Here is a 20565-nt window from a genome sequence, read left to right as displayed (position 1 = left end):
CGCCCGCCCCTGCCCCCGCTGATTGACAGGCCGTGCAGCTACTCCTGGGAGCCTGGCTTTCGGGGGCAACCCAGGCAGAAGTGACTATCTCTGCAGCAGCCAATAGAAGCCAGGAGGCGGGGCGGGGAAGCGGCGCGGTCAGGTGCTCCGCTCCAGAGTTGAGCGCAGGTGAGCTCCTGCGCGTTCCGGGGGCGTTCCTCCAGTCACCCTCCCGCCGTTACCCGCGGCGCGCCCGAGGGAGTCTCCTCCAGACCCTCCCTCCCGTTGCTCCAAACTAATACGGACTGAACGGATCGCTGCGAGGGTGAGTCCAGGGGCGTGGGTGGCTTCCCTCCCGGGAACCCACACTGCTCCTCTGGGTCCCTAAAGCAACGTCCCCTCCTTGCCACTGCACATCTAAGAAGCCCAGGCCTCGGTGGGCGGGATGACTGGGAATTGGGAACATAACCTACGCCGCGACCATTCTGGGTGGCTAGGATGGAATCCTGGTGGAGAAGATGGACACCCCCGCCCTTGACGTCTACCCGAGCTACACAAACCTACTCCTTCTGCACTTTCCCTCTTCCGTTTAATCGGTGCCCCGTCCTTCCTGCTCTCCAAGTCTGTTTGTGGAGGAAGGGTTGGAGGGGAGAAAGAACTGGAAAGTACTCAATGAAATGTGGAGCCAGATCCAGGGATTCCACTGTTTTGTGCAGCATTTTGTGCACGAAAAAAAAAAAAATTCTGATTGTTTTCATTCCCCACCCCCCACCTCTGTTTATTGCTCTGTGTCATGGATGTGATGTTGAGTCTTCTTGCCAAACATTCCTAAGCTTTAGACAACACTTAATCTTTGCTTACTTTTGTTGGTCCCAAGAAAGCAGTTTTCTCCTGCTTACACATGTGCCGAATTAATTTGCTAAGATAGATGAAAATGAGGTGTTCCATGTAGTTTATTTCCTCTGCTTTTAGCCTTAAATTACATTTGGTTGATACTAGCCTTCCTTGTTTTAAAAAGGTGGGAGAGAAAATTAGGGGGAGAAAGGACAGAGAGAGCAACTACCATCCATAGCCAGATAGGTGAGTAAATATATTTGCAGTAACCTATTTGCTATTCCTTGCTGCAACTGTGTTTAATGTTCCTTCCAGAATCAGAGAGAGTATTGCCATCCAAGAAATCGTTTTTAAATATGACATTTGAGCTATCATCTTGAGACCAATACCTAAAACAATTTCAGTTTAAGAAATGTCTAGGTATGGTGAAAACACAGTTTAAAACCAGCAAAACAGAATTTATTGCCCTCAGCGAATACCCACAATGTACATATACCTTGTATTTCTGAAAGCAAAGCAAGCATGCCAAGTAGTTTTTATTTACCTGTACCTATAATACAGCAAGGTGAAACAGGATATATTTTTGAAGTTTAAAAATGTCTTCAGGCCGGCTGCGGTGGCTCATGCCTGTAATCCCAGCACTTTGGGGAGCCGAGAAGGGTGAATCACCTGAGGTCAGCAGTTTTGAGACCAGGCTGGCCAACATGGCGAAACCCTGTCTCTACTGAAAATACAAAAATTAGCTGGGTGTGGTGGCGGGCGCCTGTAGTCCCAGCTACTTGGGAGACTGAGGCAGGAGAATTGCTTGAACACGGAAGGCGGAAGTTGCAGTAAGCTGAGATCGTGCCACCGCACACCAGCTTGGGCAACAGAGTGAGACTCCCTCTCAAAAAAAAAAAAAAAAGAAGTCTTCAGCTTAGGAAGATATCAAAAGGCAGTTTCAAGAGATTTATTTGTACAAGTGTGGTTTGATCTAAGTTTTGGTGGGTTTATAAATACCTTCATGCAGGAATGGGTAGAAAAATGAGAGAACAAAAGATCCCTGCTGGATGTGCACGCCTGATGAAAACTGACAAAATTTACATATCTATTGTTTATCCATACAGCGTCTTATTAGCTTTCTTCAATAGAATGAAAGTATTTTAGAAATATACACAGATTAGGGGAAAAGACCAGCAACCTTGATTCACAGAGCTTTAAACCAGGGAAGTGCTTTTACTACACCTATCAATGATAAGATTAAATTTTGACAAATTTTAACATTAGGAAAGTCAACAACAAATTTCAGAATTATATTTCTGTTAATATTTAGTTTAGAATCTAATTATTTAGTTCAACGAATGCTGTGATTTGATTATTAATAAATGAATGCAGATTACTTTTCAATAAATATATCTGGATGTCACAAATGTTATTTCACTTCAAGAAACCAAATTCATCTATTTTCCTCTCTCTTTAGTAATACATCTTTTGTCTGTGATTAACCAAACATAGGGGTTGAAAATAGAAGTGTGCATATACATATATATATAATATATATGTATATGCACCATTATTCGATTTGCTAATGATACTTCATTGTTGCTAGGTTGCCATAGTTGCTCTAGCCATAATGTTAAGGATGTTCACAGGTATTTGACTATAAAAAAGTTTCTGACCAGAAGTCAAAAGTCTGGATCAACCTGAAAATGTTTCTAAAAGTTTTATGTAAATGATGTCATATTTTAAAATGCTGTTGAAGAGCTCACTTAAATAATTCCTTTGAGGGATATTTAGATAAATTCTCAGAAGTGAAAAAGTTGTTTAAATGCAGCTAAACTTATTAGCTTTATTATTCATTTAGCCCCAGGTCTCTTATCTAATACGGAGTTCTGTGACATAATTCTTCCAGGCTGTGATTTATGAATATAACTAGGATTGCTAAGCACTGTTACTCTGAGTTTGGGGTAAAGTATACAAAACAAAATTATTGCCTTTAATTTCTATATGTTTATTCTACAGATTATCTTACACTGAACTGATCAAGTACTTTGAAAATGACTTCGAAATTTCTCTTGGTGTCCTTCATACTTGCTGCACTGAGTCTTTCAACCACCTTTTCTCTCCAACCAGACCAGCAAAAGGTTCTACTAGTTTCTTTTGATGGATTCCGTTGGGATTACTTATATAAAGTTCCAACGCCCCATTTTCATTATATTATGAAATATGGTGTTCACGTGAAGCAAGTTACTAATGTTTTTATTACAAAAACCTACCCTAACCATTATACTTTGGTAACTGGCCTCTTTGCAGAGAATCATGGGATTGTTGCAAATGATATGTTTGATCCTATTCGGAACAAATCTTTCTCCTTGGATCACATGAATATTTATGATTCCAAGTTTTGGGAAGAAGCGACACCAATATGGATCACAAACCAGAGGGCAGGACATACTAGTGGTGCAGCCATGTGGCCCGGAACAGATGTAAAAATACATAAGCGCTTTCCTACTCATTACATGCCTTACAATGAGTCAGTTTCATTTGAAGATAGAGTTGCCAAAATTATTGAATGGTTTACGTCAAAAGAGCCCATAAATCTTGGTCTTCTCTATTGGGAAGACCCTGATGACATGGGCCACCATTTGGGACCTGACAGTCCGCTCATGGGGCCTGTCATTTCAGATATTGACAAGAAGTTAGGATATCTCATACAAATGCTGAAAAAGGCAAAGTTGTGGAACACTCTGAACCTAATCATCACAAGTGATCATGGAATGACGCAGTGCTCTGAGGAAAGGTTAATAGAACTTGACCAGTACCTGGATAAAGACCACTATACCCTGATTGATCAATCTCCAGTAGCAGCCATCTTGCCAAAAGAAGGTAAGGCTGACTGAATGAATGGTGAGCTGAGACTAGATGTGCATTTGCCCAGTGTGATCAAATGAACAGGGATTTCTGTTGCTGCGCCTTTAAAGTAGACTTTGCCTGTGTCATGGTAATATTCTGGGATTTAATCCTCAGACTCTGAAAAGACAAAATCTCTTTTTTCAAAGCCTAATTTTTTTTTCCTTTTTCCTAGAATACTGAAATTGATGTGCTCTATGTATGTATGGCAGTAGGTTTTAACCATTTTGGATCCATAGAATATTATGAAAGCTATAGCCTCCCTTCTCAGAAAAATTGAGATGGAAAGATACATACAAAACTTGAATGCATGTACAGTTATTTCATAGAAGCCCCAAAGCCTTTTATAGGTTCCTAATTTGGACCTGCTTAACAAGGAAGCTGTGGAAGATAAGAAGGAGAAAGAGCTTTGGTCAATCTGAGGTTTATTTTCCTTATAAATGTGGAAAGTAATAACAATACCTTAAACTTTTTACAAACCTCTCCTGGAATCCTTATACCAAACCTGTCACCTCAGTATTGTCTCCATTTTAAAGAGAAGTAAATGACAGGTAAGTGACCTCAAAAGGTTTAACATCCTGAGGTCACAAAATAAGTGACAACATGACTCAGACATGCTCTTTGACATATTTTATCACTTTGCAGGGTTGGTCTTAGGTATCAAATGAGAGAACAGATTTTGAAAAGCTATAATATTTCACAAATGAGAATTCCATCCCTCAGAGGGGAATTAGAATCATATGAAACAGCGAATGTTAAAATATGTGTGTGTTTTACACACACAGTTTTCAGCAAACAGCACTTTTTTTCTGGTTTAAGAAAATTAGCTAGGAGTGGTTGCTCACGCCTATAATCTCAGCACTTTGGGAGGCTGAGGCAGCAGGGTCACTTGAGGCCAGGAGTTTGAGGCCAGCCTGGGCAACATAGCAAGACTCTGTTGCTAAAAAAAAAAAAAAAAAAAATAGCCTGGTGTGGTGACACATGCCTGTGTCCCAGGCTGAGGTGGAAGGGTTGCTTGAGCCCAGGAGTTCTAGGTTACAGTGAGCTATGATCATATCACTGCACTCCTCCTTGGGCGACAGGGAGACACAGTCGAAAGAAAAAAAAGAAAGAAAAAGAGAGACTGAGGGGGAAAGAGAGAGAGAGAGGGAGGGAAGAGAAGGGGGTGAAAGAGAGAGAGAGGAGGGAGGGAAGGAGGAAGGGAAGAGGGAAGGGAAGAGGAAATGGAAGGGGAGAAAATTACATTAACCCTTCGATTTCCTTTATAAAATTGGAATGATGTCCTCTTGTTGCGGTGCAGAAGATAAGGATGCAACCTCAGCAATGGATTTGAAAAACAGGAGGATGAAAGACAGTGCCTGGGTAACCGCATTTGTAGTTATAGGGAGTACTTTGGCAACACCTCCAGTGTTTTCAGATGTTTCCATTTTACAAACTGCTTTCCACCTCCAGCCTCTTTTCCCAGCCCTCACCCACCCCTCACCATGTTTTCTTGTCTGGAGATTCTTCGTGTCTGCACTCACAACTACCAGAACCTAGCCATTTTTATTTGGGTATTGCAGTACCCTAGACATTTTACATAGTGTCACTAATTAATATGTGTGTGTATTGAAGTCTTTAGAGGTTTCTGGTTCTATAAAATGCCCTTCCTTAATTCTATAAGGTGAACTTACAACAGAAGATTATTTCCTAGTTTCCCCTCCCAAAATTGTTTTCCCCAAGGGGAAAAAGAATTTTTTCTTATGTTCAGCTCTCTGGTTTTTCACCTCCGTAGCAAGTCTGTTGCCCATGGCTGATGGTAGCTATGAGTATTTTGTTCTGAGTGCCTCTCCTCCCTTCTCTTTAGGTAAATTTGATGAAGTCTATGAAGCACTAACTCACGCTCATCCTAATCTTACTGTTTACAAAAAAGAAGACGTTCCAGAAAGGTGGCATTACAAATACAACAGTCGAATTCAACCAATCATAGCAGTGGCTGATGAAGGGTGGCACATTTTACAGAATAAGTCAGATGACTTTCTGTGTGAGTATGTTACAGTATTTCTTTCCATTCTGCATTACTTTTTGCTAAAATACAACAGTTTAAATACATAATACAGCAGTTTATTGATTGATATTTTTACTGTCTGTTACTTGAATATTAAGGAACTACAATGTTTTCGTACTTATCTAAAAATGCTTTTTTTAGATATTGGTCCTTGATATGTAAAAGATATATACAAAATGTCCCTTTAGGTAGAATTGGGTTTCTATCATGTTTATTGATTAAAAGAAAAGCAGATGCCTGAACAATGGCATTTGTAGTGTGCTCGTGACTCATAGTGGCAGATGTATACAGATACATGGTTTCTGGTTCTTAAAACGGTTTTTGGCCAGGTGCGGTGGCTCTCGCCTGTAATCCCAGCACTTTGGGAGGCTGAGGCGGGTGGATCACGAGGTCAGGAGATCGAGACCATCCTGGCTAACAGGGTGAAACCCCGTCTCTACTAAAAAAATACAAAAAATTAGCCTGGCATGGTGGTGGGCGCCTGTAGTCCCAGCTACTCGGGAGGCTGAGGCAGGAGAATGGCGTGAACCTGGGAGGCGGAGCTTGCAGTGAGCCGAGATCGTGCCACTGCACTCCAGCCTGGGCGACAGAGCAAGACTCTGTCTCAAAAAAAAAAAAAGCAAAAAAAAAAAAATAAACAGTTTTTACATACAGATAATGATCCATAAACCAATGTTCATATTTTTATGTCTTGTGCAGGTAGCTCTTATGTTAGAGGGCTTGCTCAACAAAGGACTGCTATCTTTGGCAAGATTTGTATTTTAAAGTTAATATAAATTCAAAGGGCCCTCTAGAAATGGTTTGCTGAACTACAGTTACACAATAGATTGGTCACCTCTATTTTTGATAGAAAACCTTAATAATACTCAATTTATATTATGTTTAATGATTCAATAATTAATTAAAGATTGACCACTGTATACCTAAGCCAGAATAGTTAAGCCCTAATGCCCCAAAGCAGTGGCTCTCAAAGTGTGTTCCCTGGCCCACCAGCATCCACATCAGCTGAGAGCTTGTTAGAAATGCAAATTATTGGCTGCATAAATGTCTTCTTTTGAGAAGTGTCTGTTCATGTCCTTCGCCCACTTTTTGATGGGGTTGTTTGTTTTTTTCTTGTAAATTTGTTTGCGTTCATTGTAGATTCTGGATATTAGCCCTTTGTCAGATGAGTAGGTTGCGAAAATTTTCTCCCATTTTATAGGTTGCCTGTTCACTCTGATGGTAGTTTCTTTTGCTGTGCAGAAGCTCTTTAGTTTAATTAGATCCCATTTGTCAATTTTGGCTTTTGTTGCCATTGCTTTTGGTGTTTTAGACATGAAGTCCTTGTCCATGCCTATGTCCTGAATGGTAATGCCTAGGTTTTCTTCTAGGGTTTTTATGGTTTTAGGTCTAGCGTTTAAGTCTTTAATCCATCTTGAATTGATTTTTGTATAAGGTGTAAGGAAGGGATCCAGTTTCAGCTTTCTACATATGGCTAGCCAGTTTTCCCATCACCATTTATTAAATAGGGAATCCTTTCCCCATTTCTTGTTTTTCTCAGGTTTGTCAAAAAAACACATGAAAAAATGCTCATCATCACTGGCCATCAGAGAAGTGCAAATCAAAACCACAATGAGATACCATCTCACACCAGTTAGAATTGCAATCATTAAAAAGTCAGGAAACAACAGGTGCTGGAGAGGATGTGGAGAAATAGGAACACTTTTACACTGTTGGTGGGACTGTAAACTAGTTCAACCATTGTGGAAGTCAGTGTGGCGATTCCTCAGGGATCTAGAACTGGAAATACCATTTGACTCAGCCATCCCATTACTGGGTATACATGCCCTACAAAGGACATGGATGAAATTGGAAATCATCATTCTCAGTAAACTATCGCAAGAACAAAAAACCAAACACTGCATATTCTCACTCATAGGTGGGAATTGAACAATGAGATCACATGGACACAGGAAGGGGAATATCACACTCTGGGGACTGTTGTGGGGTGGGGGGAGGGGGGAGGGATAGCATTGGGAGATATACCTAATGCTAGATGACGAGTTAGTGGGTGCAGCGCACCAGCATGGCACATGTATATATATGTAACTAACCTGCATAATGTGCACATGTACCCTAAAACTTAAAGTATAATAAAAAAAAAAAAGAAATGCAAATTATTGGGCCCAAAACAGACCTACTGAATTTGAAACTGTGAGGCCCTGGTGAAACACACAAAAGTTTGAGAACCATTGCCCTTAGGCATACTTTATAAATACCATCTACTTGATCAAGCATTTATGATCGGGGCTACCACTACAAAACAAAGTCCCTATTCATAGGAAAGCTTTTACATAAGTCACAATGACTTAATTTTAAGTCTGAATTTCTAGTAAGAAGTGTGATATAAGATAATTATCTTTGCCTTCATGAGTGAGAGTCTAGGTCCCAACTTCTCATAGAAATGAACACAGCAATCATCCAGTCAATTACAAAGTATATAATGATATATTCCCAGTGCGACTATCAATTAATGAAATAGCATAGTACCCTGTCAGATAATTACTAGTGATTCATAATTTCAGTGCTATTTTTACTTAAATAAACCTAAAAGAATCATGGCATCTAGAATGACTTCTTTAGATACGCTTTTCCTGGTAGATTTCAAATTACTTTGAAATGACTAGGGGTCAGTTTATGACTTTTCGAAAAACTGATTTAGGATTTTTTCGAGGTGGATGGGGCAGGGAGCGTTCCTATTGCATAGTTCCCTGAAGCAAGTATAAGTATTAGAGATGGATTTACTAGTCATTCTCCTTGCCACCTTTAAGATAAAGCCTGTCAGTTTTGCTTGGGTGCCATCTTATCAGCAGTAGCTCCTTTGCCTTGTACCTTGATACCATGCTAAGCACACATGACTTTGAAATCCAGCTATTATCAATTTCGTATCCATTTTATGTCACTTGACACATGTGTCAGAAGACCCCCAAGTTTTTACCTTATTTGTAGCCACACTAAAAGCACATAATGCTAAGTTGGATCCTGATTAGAGCTACCAAAATCAGGAGTTTCCTACTCTCCTCCACTCTGACCTTTGTTTTTTAGTAGTAGATTATAGCTGTAAGTACAGGTTTGATTTTTATGGTTTCTTTTGCTTTTCTTTATGTATCGTATTTTCCCTTTTATTGGTAACTATGAGTTTATTGGCTTCAGATTAAGACTAAGAGCACCTTTATCTCTTTATCTTTAGAATAATAATTGGAACATAGTAGGTACCCCATAAGTATTTGCTGAATATTACTTTGCCACCAGTAAAAAACAAAAACAAAACAAACAAACAAACAAAAACTCTAATTTTTCCCTAACTTGGCTCTGCTTTGTTCTTTACCCTTCTTCCCCTGCTGCTTAAGCCACTGTTGGCCTGTAAGAAAGATTCACAACCATTTGACTCTTCAATTCCTGAAGAGAATTGTGATGTGGACAACAGCAGAGATTGTTTGTCAAAGATTGTTTTATGTTTACAGTCAAACTAGATAAGATGTGCATTTAAGTTCAGAATTTGACCATACAACAATTATGTCCATTTTAATGCATAGTTGGCTAACTTTTTCACATATTTTCTCTTTACAGTAGGCAACCACGGTTACGATAATGCGTTAGCAGATATGCATCCAATATTTTTAGCCCATGGTCCTGCCTTCAGAAAGAATTTCTCAAAAGAAGCCATGAACTCCACAGATTTGTACCCACTACTATGCCACCTCCTCAATATCACCGCCATGCCACACAATGGATCATTCTGGAATGTCCAGGATCTGCTCAATTCAGCAATGCCAAGGGTGGTCCCTTATACACAGAGTACTATACTCCTCCCTGGTAGTGTTAAACCAGCAGAATATGACCAAGAGGGGTCATACCCTTATTTCATAGGGGTCTCTCTTGGCAGCATTATAGTGATTGTATTTTTTGTAATTTTCATTAAGCATTTAATTCACAGTCAAATACCTGCCTTACAAGATATGCATGCTGAAATAGCTCAACCATTATTACAAGCCTAATGTTACTTTGAAGTGGATTTGCATATTGAAGTGGAGATTCCATAATTATGTCAGTGTTTAAAGGTTTCAAATTCTGGGAAACCAGTTCCAAACATTTGCAGAAACCATTAAGCAGTTACATATTTAGGTATACACACACACACACACACACATACACACACACGGACCAAAATACTTACACCTGCAAAGGAATAAAGATGTGAGAGTATGTCTCCATTGTTCACTGTAGCATAGGGATAGATAAGATCCTGCTTTATTTGGACTTGGCGCAGATAATGTATATATTTAGCAACTTTGCACTATGTAAAGTACCTTATGTATTGCACTTTAAATTTCTCTCCTGATGGGTACTTTAATTTGAAATGCACTTTATGCACAGTTATGTCTTATAACTTGATTGAAAATGACAACTTTTTGCACCCATGTCACAGAATACTTGTTACGCATTGTTCAAACTGAAGGAAATTTCTAATAATCCCGAATAATGAACGTAGAAATCTATCTCCATAAATTGAGAGAAGAAGAAGGTGATAAGTGTTGAAAATTAAATGTGATAACCTTTGAACCTTGAATTTTGGAGATGTATTCCCAACAGCAGAATGCAACTGTGGGCATTTCTTGTCTTATTTCTTTCCAGAGAACGTGGTTTTCATTTATTTTTCCCTCAAAAGAGAGTCAAATACTGACAGATTCGTTCTAAATATATTGTTTCTGTCATAAAATTATTGTGATTTCCTGATGAGTCATATTACTGTGATTTTCATAATAATGAAGACACCATGAATATACTTTTTTTCTATATAGTTCAGCAATGGCCTGAATAGAAGCAACCAGGCACCATCTCAGCAATGTTTTCTCTTGTTTGTAATTATTTGCTCCTTTGAAAATTAAATCACTATTAATTACATTAAAAATCAAATTGGATAAAACAATGTTTTCTTTCTGGTAGCGCATAATAACAGAGCACAAGCATCTTTTAGATTTGAGCATTTGAAGATTCAAAGTTGCGAAAGAGCACAAACCATATTAGGTAAAATATTGGCCACTCGATCCTTGAAAAGAACTGTGTGGAGCCTGGAAAAAAAAATTAGGACCACATGTGAGATGTTTACAAGACACCCAGAACAGTGGTAAAGTGTGCATACTAGAAAAAGCAGCAAAATAACTCTTTGTGGTAACAGGTATCAAAACACGGGAGCCGAGATGATATAGCTCTGTTTCAAGAAATATGTGAATACCCACCTACCAGGTGCTCAGTGGAATCAAAGATGAATCCAAGTTCACAAATAGACTTCTACTTCCAAGGTAGTACTTTTGACCTGCCTGGTCATCTCAGTCTTTTCCATTCCAACAACCTAAGGCTGTGCTTTAGATTTCTAAGTAATCAAGAAGTTTGGGAGAGGCATAGTATTACATGTGGCTTCTTAGAGGAAAGAGGAAGCCCTGAAAAGAAAGACTTTCCTTGAAGAAAATAGCATTTTACAGACACATGGATAGTACTGTGATTTCATGTATATATATGTACCAATTGGCTAATGAGTAGGTAAAATTGTATTACTATTCCAGAAAGAAAGGACAAATGGGATGTGAAGAACTAAAGTGACATAGTTAAAAATTTAACCAAATTTAAGTGCTTCCTAAAATTTGGTGAATGTCTTATTTTTTAAAATGATAATACCAATAAGGAATGTTGGCACATAATTCCCATTTCATTATAAAACCTCTTAATAGAATAGAATCAAATAATTGGAAATGGCCTATAGATTAAAAAGCTGAGAAAGTATATGGTAGGTAGCAAACTCCCCAGAAGTATGAACTCTGGATTAGACATCTCAGAATACATGAGCACTCATGTTGGCTTGCTTTGTAGCTATGAACTTACCCTGTATTATTGAAATGTCAGCATAATGACTGGAAGGTGAAATTGGTCCATTTTAGAGCATTACTATTATGCTATCTGTCCATTTAAATTAATAATTGCATTAAATTCATTTTAGAAGGTGCTATTACATTAGTAGTAAGAAAGTAAATTCATATATAAATATTTGATTATCAGATGGTTTACTTACAGATACTTATTTTCCTGTAAAATAGGAGAGTTTACCTGAAGAAAAATAAAACTTTTAACTTTTCTGGGAAAATCACATCACTTATCATCATTGACATCTTTTTGTTGTTGTTTTGTCTTACCTGCATGTCTTCATGGTCAAGCTTTGTATGCAGTGAACTCAAATTAGTACATGGAAATAAAAGACTAGCTAATCTTACTAATTGTAAGAATTTTAGAAAGGTCAGAGGAATGGAGCTTCTCTCTGTGCCCCCATCTTTTCTCAACATCCTCCTACATGAGCCATTTTGTAAAGTTTATTAATTGTTAGGATTTTTTAAAATTCAGTTTGTATTTTACAATTTCTTCTCCATCACCTGCAGTTTAAGTTTAAATTGCTTTTCAAAATGCCCTGTGATCTTGTAAGTATCCTATTATTAGTCTTAGTTTCTTACAAGAACCTCTTATTTCTAGAAAATCTAATGAAAGACCCCAGCTCTTCTAGTTCTCACATTTTTTTTTTCTGTTTTTCGTTAGCTGAAAAACATACTTGATAATCATAGAGTTGGGAAAGCTCTAAGGGATCATTCAACCCTTGATTTAACAAAAGCTCTTGCAAAGCTGTGAAATTTGCATGACATATTAGTGCCAGAGCTGGAGGCAGGACCCAGGTTCCATGACTGAGTTTATACTCAAAGTCAAGCTGCAGTCTAAGTTGGTTTACTTCCGGTTCTTCCTAAGGTAGCCCTTTGAGATCCTACCCCTAGCAGGAGGTGGTTAACCGATGTTCCCACCCTTGGCAGGCTCTCTGGTCCAACTTTTAACAGTCAGCTACACAAGGCTTATGGCTTTCTTTCAGACTGGCCAATGCCCAAGGGCAATGCCCCAGGACAAAATAGTCCTGAATGCTAGACTCTTTCAGGATTTCAGTCTTCTCTGAATGTCACCCTGGTAATTCCTCATAACCTTGTGGGCAATTTGATTCTTTTTAAAAAGACGTTTTAAAATGCATTTTGACTTCCAATCAGGACAGGATAGCATGGTCCTGCTTTTCCTTGTTCCTCCACACTAAGCATAATTATAGAGCCTGGAAATGGTGCAAGAGACTCTGAAGGGTGGTAATAAGGCTGAGAGCTGATTAGGGAACCTGGGCTGGAAAAACAGCACAGCGGCAGGGCTTCACGTGTTTCTCACCTAACAGAAGGAGGCCACACAGAGCCTGCATTTCTTAACCCCCACCTACCAAGACAGCAGCCCAGGGAGGTTTATTCCTCCCCTGGATCAAAGAAGAATCTCTGGTAACATCAGGGCAGCCCATGTCATCAGCAAGGGGAATTGCCATAACCCTCCAACTAGGAATATTGATTGGGAGTCCCATTAAAGAGCAGCCAAGAGGAGCATTCTCCTTCCCACCACTGAAACACTCTTCCACTGAGTCATAGAGGTGGACAAACAAAATCTGCAAAAGAGACCAAGCTACAGCAGACAGTCTGGGGAACCTCTTTGTTCCCATGCCCTGAGACTCTCCTCCTCTACCCAGAGACTTTGCAATGTGCAAGGCGCACCAATAAAGGAATCCCACTACACCATTTCCCTACCAAGAGATACCTGGCAGCTGGCCTGGGGAAAACCCTTCTGCTTTCCTCAGGCAGGACCAGCAGAGACAAGTGGGAATTCCAGCAGCACCACACAATCCAAGCAGACCATAATCCAATAGCACTCCAAAGGCTGTGAAAATTAAGCTGCCATTGGAATCACAGCCCACAAAAGTAGGACAAGATCTACATGCTAAACCTAAACTGTGTGACTTTCTGCTAAAATAAAAAATGTAAAGGGAACTCATCATCTTATTACATAATATATAAGATATCCAGGATACAACTGAAAATTACCTGTTATACCTAAAACCCAGAAAATCACAACTACAATGAGAAAAAAAAAATTGACACCAGCACCAAAGTGATTCATATGTTGGGATCATACAAGAAGAATTGTAAAACAGTTGTCATAAAAATACTTCAATGATCAACACAAATCCTCTTTAAAATGAAAGGTAAAAAATCTCAGCAAAGAAATAAAAGCTATTTTTTAAATGGAAATTATAAAACTGAAAATATAGTGGCATTTAAAAAAACTACATAGGCTCAATAGTACAATGGAATTGGTACAGGATAGAATCAGTGAACTTAAGTACAGAACACTAGAATTCACAAAACATTAACAAGTCTCAGTGATCTGTGGGACAATAAGAAAAAAATCCAACTTCCATATCACCAGGGTTGTAAAAGGGGAGGCTGAAAGACTACTTGACAAAATAATGACTAAAAACTTCTCCAACTTGACTAGACACAAATCTACAGATCCAAGAAGCTGAGTGAATGCCCAAACAGAATAAACCCAAATAAATCCACACCTAGGTACATTGTAGGTAAACTTGTTAAAAAGGGCCCCCCACTCAACAACTTAAAAGAAAAATCTTGAAAGTAGCCAAAGAGAAGCAATGCATTACTTATAGAACACCAAGTCTGATGACAGCAGATTCTTACCTGAAATCATGGAGGCCAGAGGCAATGGCACAGTATTTCTCAAGTGCTTAAAAAAGAAGTGACTTTCATAAATTCTGTATACCATGAAACTATCCTAAAGAATGAAGGGGAAATAAAATCATTCTCTGAACTAGAGAAATTAAAAGAAGTGGCTGCTAGCAGAAGACCCACTTTTAAAGATAGGTAAAGAATGTTCTTCAGACATAAAGGAAATGGTAATAAAAAAAGAATCTTAGAGTGTCAGTAAGGAAGATGGAAAAATGAGAACAGCAGACACTTGAGTACATACAATAGACTATCCTTTTTCTCATGAGTGTAATAAACCATATTTGATGTTTGAAGCAATTATAATGCCACCTGATATTCATGCCAATATTTAGAAGCATGGAAGTTAATGGGACCTAAATGGAAGTGAGGTTTCCACACTTCATTCAAAGTGGTAAAATGCAGATACCAGTAGACAGTTATAAATCACAAATGCATATTATAACACTCAGACCAGCCACCAGAAAAACTATACAAAGAGACACACTCAAAAACACTACAAATAAATCAATAAGGAATTAAAAATTTTAACATAACCCACAGGAAGGCAAAAGAAGAGAAGCAGAAATGAGAACCAGGGGAAATCCTAGAAAACAGATAATAAAATGGCAGAATTAACATACCAATAATTACCTTAAATGTAAGTTATCTAAATACATGAATCTCAAAAGACAGAGATTGACAGAATGGACCAAAAAAACTGACTCTACTATATGTGGTTACAATAAAAGAACTTCAAATTCAAGACACAGTAGGTCAAAAGTAAAAGGGTGGGAAAAGTTGTACTATGCAAACATTAATTTTTCTTTTCTTCCCCTATACAATACCAATGTAAACAAATATTAATTTTTGAAAAGCAAGAATGGCTATGTTAATATCTGACAAAATAGACTTTAGAGTAGAAAGGATTACTATAAAGAGGATTTTACATGATGATAAAAGGAATAATGATAAATTTATATAATATATAATATTTCATCAGGAATACATAACAATCCTAAATATTATAAATCCTAAACAGCAGAATCTTAAAATATATGAAGAAAAAAGACTGATAGGACTGAAAGGAAAAACAGATAAATAACAATTTAATTGGGATTCAACACCCTCCTCTCAATAACTTCTAGAATATCTAGACAGAGAATCAGAAAGAATATAGAAGATCTCTACAACACAACCAACAACATATAGAGAGTACTCGATCAAACAACAGCATAACTGACAAAAATACACACTAGGATAAACATTTTTCTCAAGCACTCATAAAATATTCACCACCATAGGTCCATTCACTATATCCTGGGTCATAAACAACCCTCAACAAATTTAACAGAATTGAAATCATACCAATTGTGTTTTCTGACCACAGGGGAGTCAAACTAGAAATCAACAACTGAAAGATAACAGGAAAATCTCTAAACCCATGGGAACTAAACAACATATTTAAAAATAATTCCTGGGTCAAAAGGAAAGTCTCAAAGGAAAAATTTAAAACTACATAGAATTTAATGAAAACACAATATATAATATCAAAATATAAGATTTGAATCGAAAGCAGTACTGAGAGGGAAGTTTATAGCACTAACGGCTTACATAAAATGAGGAAAGGTCTTAAATCAACAACCTTAGTTCATACCTCAAGGGACTAGAAAAGAAGAGCAAGTTAAAGGAAGCAAAAGGAAGAAAATAATAAACATAACAATAGAAACCAATGAAATTGAAATTAGAAAAACAGTAGAGAAAATTAATAAAACAAAAATCTACTACTTTAAAAAATTAGTAATATTGATAAACCTATATAGCAAGACTGACAAAAAAACAGCCACAATCACAATATCAGAAATGAAATAGAGGCTATCCATGCTGATATTAAAAGGTAATGGAGAACTATTAGGAACAAGTTTACCTCATAAATTCAACAACTTAAACTTGAAAACCACAAGCTACTAAACCTCAACCAAGATGAAACAATCTGAATAGCCTTACACACAATAAATAAATTGAATTCATTATTAAAAAGCTCCAACAAGCTAAAGAAAAATATATGATCATATCAATCTATGGAGAAAAAGCACTTGAAAAGATCCAATACTAAGGTATTTTTTTTTCGTTTTTTAAAGAAAGAAAAAAAAAACCTCTTAGCAAGTTAGGAAAGGAAACTATCTCAACTTGATAAATAACATCTTTTTTAAAAAACTGCAACTAACATCTTAGTTAATGGTGAAAGACTGAATGCTTTCTCTTTAAGATTGGGAATGGGTGAAGGATGTCTGCTATCATCACTCGTATTTAACATAGTACCGGAAGTTCTAGCTACTGAAGTTCTTTCTAGCAGGAAAAAAAAACGCATACATCGTGATAAAAAGAAATAAAACAATCCCTATTTCCAGGCGACATGCCTTTGCAGAAAATCCCAAAGAATCTAAAAAACAAAACAGAAACTCTTAGAACTAACAGCAAGGTCTGAAGACACAAGATAAACACATAAAGATCAGTCAATTTTTATATATGAACAATGAATATATGGAAACTGAAATTAGAAATGTAATACCATTACATTCACTCCAAAAAAAATAAAATACTTAGTTATAAACTTAACAAAATGGGTACAGAATCCTGAAAATTACCAAATACTGACAAAATAAATCAAAAAGCCTTCAAATCGAAGAAGTTTTCAATAAATAATGAGACATACCATGTGCAAAAGTTGGAAGATAACATAGTAAAAGTGCCAACTCCCCAAATTGATCTATAGATTTACCGCAATTCCTATTATTCAAAATCCCTGAAAATCTTTTCTTTTTGGTAGACATAAACGAACTTATTCTAAAATTAATATGGGAACACACAAGCCCTACAATAGGTAAAACAAAACTGAAAAATAATATAGCTAGAAGAATCATTCTACCTGATATTAAGTCCTATTGTGTAGATACAGTAATCAAGACAGTATGGTGTTGGCAGAGAGACAGACACGTAGATAAATGGAACAGAATAGACAAACCTGAAATGCCCATAAATAGTCCCCATAAATAGTCCCAACTGATTTTTGACAAAGGTTAAAAAGCAAATCAATGGAGAAAGGACAGCCTTTTAAACAACAACAACAAAAACCCTGAACCTTGACCTAAACCCCACACTTTATATAAAATATAATTAAAAATGTATCATGGACTTAAATGAAAAACAAAATTTTAGAAAAAAATATAGGAGAAAATCTTCAAAACCTAGAGCAAGACAGAGTTCTTTGGCTTGTCACCAAAAGCACAACCCATAAAAGGAAAAATTGGTAAACTGGGCCTCATCAAAATTAGCTTTTTTTTGTTGTTCTGTGAAAATCCATGAGAAGAGGCTAAAAAGATAAGCTACAGAGGAAGTACTTGCAAACCACATATCCTACAAAAGACTAGTATATAGGATATACATAAATAGTTCTTCACAACTCAAGAGTAAAATACAAACAATCCAATTCAAAAATAGGCAAAAGACATAAAGAGACATTACACCAAAGAGGGTATATACGGTAGCAAATAAGCTCTTGAAAAGATGTCAACATCATTAGCCATTCTGTAATGCAAAGTAAAACCACAATGAAATGTCACTATATTCCTATCAGAAAGGCTAAAATATAAAACAATGATAACATCAAATGCTGGCAATGATGCAGAGAAACTGGACCACTCATATATTGCTGCTGAGAATGTACATGGTACAGCCACTCTGAAAAACAGTTTGACAGTTTCTTATAAAAGTAAACATGTGACCCAGCATTTGTACTCATATTTATACCAAAAAAATGAAAACATATGTTCACACACAAAAAAAACTGTAAACATACATTCAGAGCAGCTTTATTTGTAATGGCCAACACTAGAATCATCCCAAATATCTTTCAGTTTGTTGAGTGGTTAAACAAACTGTCCTACAAACACATCGTGGACTATTACTTGGCAATAAAAAAGAACAACCTATTGATATGTGTACCAACTTGGATGGATCTCCAGGGAATTATGCTGGGTGGAAAAACCAATGCTAAAGAGTTACATACTGTAAAATTCCATTTATGTACTATTTTTTAAATGACAAAATTTGAAATGGAAGGTGATTATAAAACAGCAACGCAAGAGATTCTTATGGTATTGGAACTATTTATTATATTAGCTGTGGTTGCCGTAACAAAATACCAAATATGGCTTAAACAATAGACGTTTATTTCGCACAGTTCCAGGAGACTGGACAGTCCAAGATTAAGATTCCAGCAGATTTGTTTCCTGGTGAGGGCTCTCTTCCTGGGTTGCAGACAGCTGCCTTCTCATTGTACTTTTACATGGCCCCATGGGCATCAACTCCCTATATTTCTTGAAAAGTGCATGCCCAAGTGCCAAGTATGATCTTAGAGGCACTCACCACTTTAGTGTTCAGGCCAGTCATGTCTGGGCCAAGAAGAAAGAGGCTAAGCATTGTCAGGTTGCATCTGTGGGAAGCTAGCCAAAGCCAAAATAAAACTGGAGTAAGAGTATATTGACTGCGTTTGAGGGTATACAAGAGAAGTCTAATACACCCACAGATGTATGGATTCTTGATTTTAACAAAGGTGATTAATTCTGTTTATCTATTTTTTAATCCTTGGGTCAATACTATACTCTCTTATTATATTTTTAGAATTATTCCTGACACCTGATAGAGTATGTCCTACCATTTTATTTTTTTCAAAATTGTCTTGGCTCTTCGCATTTCTACACAAATTTTACAGTCAGCTTCTGCAGTTCCATAAAAAAACAAATAAAACCCTGCTGAAATTACTTGGATGCAATTATCAGTTTGGGAAGAATTGCCATCTTTATAATATTTAACCTTCCAACCTACAAACATGATATAGCCCTCTATTTATTTTGGTCTCCCTTAACTCCTTTATAATTTTCTGTGCAAAGATTCTGCATGTATTTTGTTAGACTTATTCCCAAATATTCCATGCTTATTGATAGCAATGTAAATAATATGAGTTTAAAATTTTCCTTTTCTAATTGTTTTCTGCTGAGATATAGGAATACACTTGATTTTTGTATATTGACCTGATATCTAGCCATTTTTTAAACTCAGAGTTTATCTGTAGATTGTTGGATTTCTTATGTATACTATCATGCATTTGTGAATATGAGTTTTATTTTCCAATACTTACTTCTTTTGCTTTCCTTATTGCACTTGCTAGGACCTGCAGTACAATGTTAAATATAAGTGGTGAGAGTGGACATCCTTGCCCTGTTCCTGATCCCAGGAGAGGAACATTTGCTATTTCATCATTCAGTATATTAGCTTTGGCTTTGTTTTTGTTTTTTTTTAATAGATGGCATTCATCAGCTGGTGGAAGTTTCCTTCTATTCCAAATTTAATCAGTTTGTTCAACTAATAAATAGGTGTTGAATTTTGCCAAATACTTTTCCACATTCATTGACTTGATAATGTGTTCCTTTTTTTCTATTAGTATACAGCATAACATTGATTGATTTTCAATGATCAAAACAATTCTGTGCCCTGTAGTAAACTCCACTTATTCATGTGCATTATCCTTTTGAATTACCACTGAATTCAATTAGATAATATTTAGTTAAGTATTTTTGTTCATAAGAATACTGGTCTTTTAATATATTTTTTCACGTTTTTGTACCAGTGTTATACTGGCCTTATAAAAAGAATATGTTGGCTGGGCGAGGTGGCTCACACCTGTAATCCCAGCACTTTGGCAGGCCGAGGTGGGCAGATCACGACGTCAGGAGATGGAGACCATCCTGGCCAACATGGTGAAACCCCGTCTCCACTAAAAATACAAAAATTAGCTGGGCGTGGTGGCACGTGCCTGTAGTTCCAGCTACTCAGGAGGCTGAAGCAGGAGAATTGCTTGAAACGGGAAGGCGGAGGTAGCAGTGAGCCGAGATCGCACCAATGCACTCTAGCCTGGTGACAGAGAGAGACTCTGTCAAATAAATAAATAAATAAATAAATAAATAAATAAATAAACAAACAAACAAATAAATAAAACGTGTTCCTTCGTCTTCTATTTTCCATAAGAATTTATGTAAAACTGGTATCATTTCTTCATCAAATGTGTGATGAACTAATCAGTGAAACACCTGGACTTGAAGT

At 37.1% G+C, this 20565-nt stretch overlaps 1 protein-coding gene across 5 annotated transcripts; it reads left to right on the top strand.

The window, feature by feature from the left end:
- On the top strand, positions 132 to 11927 carry ENPP5 (ectonucleotide pyrophosphatase/phosphodiesterase family member 5). 5 transcript variants are annotated; one of them, XM_011514786.4, is made up of 5 exons: positions 132 to 168; positions 998 to 1059; positions 2815 to 3678; positions 5549 to 5725; positions 9359 to 11927. In XM_011514786.4, the coding sequence occupies exons 3-5, from the start codon at positions 2850 to 2852 to the stop codon at positions 9784 to 9786; spliced, it is 1434 nt and encodes a 477-aa protein (XP_011513088.1). In that variant the 5' UTR covers positions 132 to 168; positions 998 to 1059; positions 2815 to 2849; the 3' UTR covers positions 9787 to 11927. The 5 variants fall into 5 exon arrangements, with proteins under 5 accessions (XP_011513088.1, NP_001277001.1, XP_005249317.1 ...); NM_001290072.2 differs by having other exon boundaries at positions 132 to 304; XM_005249260.5 differs by lacking the exon at positions 998 to 1059.

The sequence above is a fragment of the Homo sapiens genome, chromosome 6, assembly GCF_000001405.40.
Source record: "Homo sapiens chromosome 6, GRCh38.p14 Primary Assembly".
Classification (NCBI taxonomy): Eukaryota; Metazoa; Chordata; class Mammalia; order Primates; family Hominidae; genus Homo; species Homo sapiens.
Note: the sequence above shows the minus strand (reverse complement) of the source record. Positions and strands in the feature narration are given on the sequence as shown.